Source organism: Homo sapiens, chromosome 14, assembly GCF_000001405.40.
Source record: "Homo sapiens chromosome 14, GRCh38.p14 Primary Assembly".
Taxonomy (NCBI): Eukaryota; Metazoa; Chordata; class Mammalia; order Primates; family Hominidae; genus Homo; species Homo sapiens.
In genome coordinates, this window is record NC_000014.9 from 71,264,222 (window position 1) to 71,268,469 (window position 4,248).

Consider the following 4,248-nt stretch of genomic DNA (forward strand, 5'->3'; position numbering starts at 1 on the left):
TCGTCTTGTTAATCCATTAACCAATTACCTGGTTGTAAGACTAGCTTCATTTATGTGACTTTAAAATTTTTGGTCTACATAAGACATTTTACCGTAAAATTCTTGCAGTGAGTTCACCTGAGTTTTTCTGTGGCGACAAAATCAGTCATGACCTCTGCTCATCAAACAGGGTAATCCTTGCTGTGCTGCTGCTCCTCCCAGCAGTTGGGACCTCAAGTCTGTGGGATTGCTTTGTGCCCCAGCCATCCTCAGCCTCATTAGTTCTGTGGCAGCTACTGTAGCCACAGCCTCAGGGATGTTTGTTTGTCATTTACAGAGATAGATAATTTGAGTGAGACAGGATTAACTAGCAGACATCTAACATAACAATTGACCCTCATTTGGCAGAGTATGTCAAAAATTTAAAACTTTAAATTGCATGCAAAATGTAACAACATCTTCAATGTTAAATAAAGTTTTCTATGAAAAATACCAATTTTGTATTTGAATAGTTCTACTGCTTGTTCCTTCCTCAGCTTTCTTTCCCTTTTAAAAACTAACATATGTACCTAAGGGAGATGAAGGTGATTTTCTGTAATTTCTATTTCTCAAATTATATAATATTTTTGGTAAACCTTGATTCTTTCTGAAACTGTATTTTTAGAATATACCATAAAATAGATCCTTGTATATCTTCCCTATAAGGTCTTGTTAAGTAGTATGTTTTTTTGAAAATTGTTTAAAAATGACTTTCAACTTCTAGTAATGGCAGAACAGCTTGGTTGGACTAACCCTCCTATAAAAAACAGTTATAAAAACTGGAAAAAGTGTTTAGAAACAAAGAACAATTTCAATATACTGGAGATTTATCAAAAACAAAGTGGTGAGAAGTTCACCTTTAAAGGCAAAATATATGTTGTGAGATTTGCAAGTCTGCAACTTTTTTACCTGTGTGCACTCACTAATCCATTGTCTTGAGTTGTCATGGAATCAGATTGGCTAGAATTAAGGGGGAAATCCTAGAAGGGAATTACTGCAGGTACTGTGAGACCCAAAATCTATCTTTAAAAAATCCACCCAACTTCTTGACTGGTCCAGAAATAGAAAAAGAGAAAGAGCGAAACAAAAAAGTAGCAGCTGGAAGCTGACCTGAGCAGAGAATTCAACTGCTGCTAACTGCAGGGAGACAAAGTTTGGAATTTGAGTCCAGCCAAGTTGAGAAGATTACTCTTCAAAGGAACATAATGGAACCCAGAGTTTCTACATTGTAGTATCCATTATAACCAGCATTCAACTAAAAATCACAGAATGTGCAAGGTAACCAGAAAAATGTGACACATACTCAGGGGAAAAAAAGGAACCAGAGATGACCTAGATGTTGCTGTAATAAATAGACAAGACTTTAAGGCAGTCATTATAAATATGTTCAAGAATTTAGGAAAAATTTGATCATAGCAAATAAACCTGGTGGGGGAATCACAGAGGAGAAATAGATACTATTTAAATAGAAGCAAATGGAAATTTTATAGCTGAGAAGTACAATAAGTGAAATGGAAAATTCATTAGATGCTCTTAACAACATCTTGGAGGCAGCTGGAGAAAGAGTGAATGTGAAGATTGTGAAGATAGATCAATAGAGATTCTTCAATCCGCAGGATATAGACAAAAGTCCCAAATATTTGGAAATTAATCAACGTTTATTTTTTAAATCCATGATTTATTTCACAAGGGAAAGTAGAAAATATTTTGAATGGAATTATCATTAAAATACAAGATATCAGAGCTGTATGATGCAGGTAAAGGAGTGCTCAGAGGAAATGTTATACTTTTAAGTGTCTATATTAGAAATGAAGAAAAAAAACCATTTATTCATCAATTGATGAATGAGTACATAAAATGTGCTATGTCCATACAATGGAATATTAATCAGCAATAAAAAGGAATGAAGTACCAACACATACTGTAACATGGATGAACCTTGAAAACATTAGGCTAAATAAAATAAGTCGGTCACAAAAGACCACATATTATGTGATTCCATTTATAGGAAATGTCCAGAATAAATGAATCTATGGAGACAAGAATTAGATTAGTGGTTGTTCAGAGCTGAGGGACGGGTGGAGTGATTGATAAAGGGTATACGGTTTCTTTTTGGGGCGATGAAAATGCTCTAAAAAGTATTTGATATTGGTTGCACAACCCCATGAATGTACTTAAAATTGTTTAATTGTATACTTTAAATGGGTGAATTGTATGGTATATGAATTATATCTCAATAATGCTGTTACTCCCCAAAATTATCTGAATTTTTGACATAAGAAACTAGAAAGAAAGTGAGCAAATTAAACCCAAAATAAGTAAAAATTAGGAAATAATAAAGATAAGAGCACAAGTCAATCAACAAAAAAACAGATGAAAAATAAGAGAATATAAATCAAAAGTTAATTCTTTGAAATGGTTAATAAAAGTAGTAAACACCTAGCAAGACTGATAAAGAAAAAAGAGAAAATATAAATTACCAATAACAGAAATTAAATAGAAGATTTCAGAAAAAATCCTAAAAACATTGTGGTGATTGCATGACTGTATAGATGTTGCAAAACTCATTAAATTGCACATCTAATGTGAGTGAATTTGGTTGTATAGAAGTTATACCTCAATAAAACTATAAAAGAATAAATCAGTGTAATTCATTTGATTAATAGAATAAAGAAGAAAAACTATATGATTATATCAGTTGCTGCCAGGTCTCTAGGCTTCAAGATAGAGGACTCTCTACTGGGTTAAATCAGTTTATTTCAGACTGATCTAAGTCTCTGTCTCAATCACTTGTTGATAAGAGCGCCCCTGTGTTTCTCCACAACATGAGATCGTACCTCTTTCAAGGGCCAACTTACCAAATCCCATCAAGTTTCCCCATACTCTGTAATGACCACTTCAGCCCTGCCCTTACCCAATTTTCTTAGTCATTTTAAAAGGCCGAGGTGAACCTCAAGATTTTCTTGTGTGGGCAATTTCTGTCTTAGCAGGGTTCTAAGAACTAGGCAATGACTAATAGCTACTGCAGTTTGTTGACCTTGTTCCAGCAAAATCTATACTATAAGCACAGGTCATTCCATTCAGGGGATTATTTTTCTCCTGCAGTGGTTATGTGTTATGACAAAACGAAGTTCAATACCTAATTGTGCGACTGGGCAAATATCCAAGAAGCATCAAATAGGCATAGACTAGGACCTGTGGGAACCTTCCCTCAGGTCCATGACAAAGAACAAGAAAAACTTGAGATTGTCTTTAAAAATGCAACCTGAAGACACAGTTACTTCTTACTTAGCAAGGGAAAGAAAGGTGAAAATAAATTACCTTTGCTTCTGTGTTATTCACACTGCTGGAAACCATAAAAAGGAGGCTTCATTATAATTCTTGAAGGTTCTATTAATATTAGTGGATAATATAGTTTTGTGGCTTTCTAGTGCTACAAGCTTATTCTGAGCAATACTGCCCTCAACCAATTTCTGGCGCTGGCAATGTTAGGGCTTCTGGGCAGAATCTTGAGGCAAGATAGAAAAATTTTTCCATGTTTCTCCATGTGGGTTAAAGACCCAGTGAGAATAAATAGCAAAGAAGTAGAGTACAGAGTTTAAGAAAATAGATTTGATATCAGGCAAACCTAGGTTTCAGTTTCAGTTTTGCCGATAATTAAACATGTGGCTTTGGAAAAGCTGTTTAACCCTTCCAAGACTTAGTTTCTTCATCTCTAGGATGGGCATAATACTACCACCTACTTTACAGGGTAGTCAGAATTACATAAAATAATTATTGTAAAGGGCATTTGACAGTGTCTGACAAAGAGTGAAAGAACTTATACTACTATTTATTTCTTCATATTTACATATATTTTATGCTAGGGGAATTGGCACTCAGGTATGTTGCCAGTGAGAATATAAATTGGTACAGTTTCTTTGGAGGTTAATTTGATAGTTTATGTTAAATTTTTAAAATCCCATAGGCTTTGATATGATTCCGCTGTATCCCCACCCAAACCTTACCTTGAATTGTGGTTCCCATAATCCCCACGTGTCATGGGAGGGACCTGGTGGGAGGCAATTGAATCATGGGGCTGGTTACCTTCATGCTATTCTCATGATAGTGAGTGAGTTCTCACAAAATCTGGTAGTTTTATAAGATGCTTTTCCCCCCACTTCGCTCATACTTCTCCTTGCTGACACCATGTGCAGGACACATTTGCTTCCCCTTCCGCCGTGATTGTAA

The 4,248-nt window shown here is 35.1% G+C and overlaps 1 annotated feature.

The window, feature by feature from the left end:
- Window positions 3,231-3,280: an enhancer, noted in NCBI's record as "active region_8671". NCBI's record gives its function as "activates an Ori minimal core promoter by ATAC-STARR-seq in GM12878 lymphoblastoid cells {active_cell/tissue: GM12878}" and the evidence as "EXISTENCE:reporter gene assay evidence [ECO:0000049][PMID:35858748]".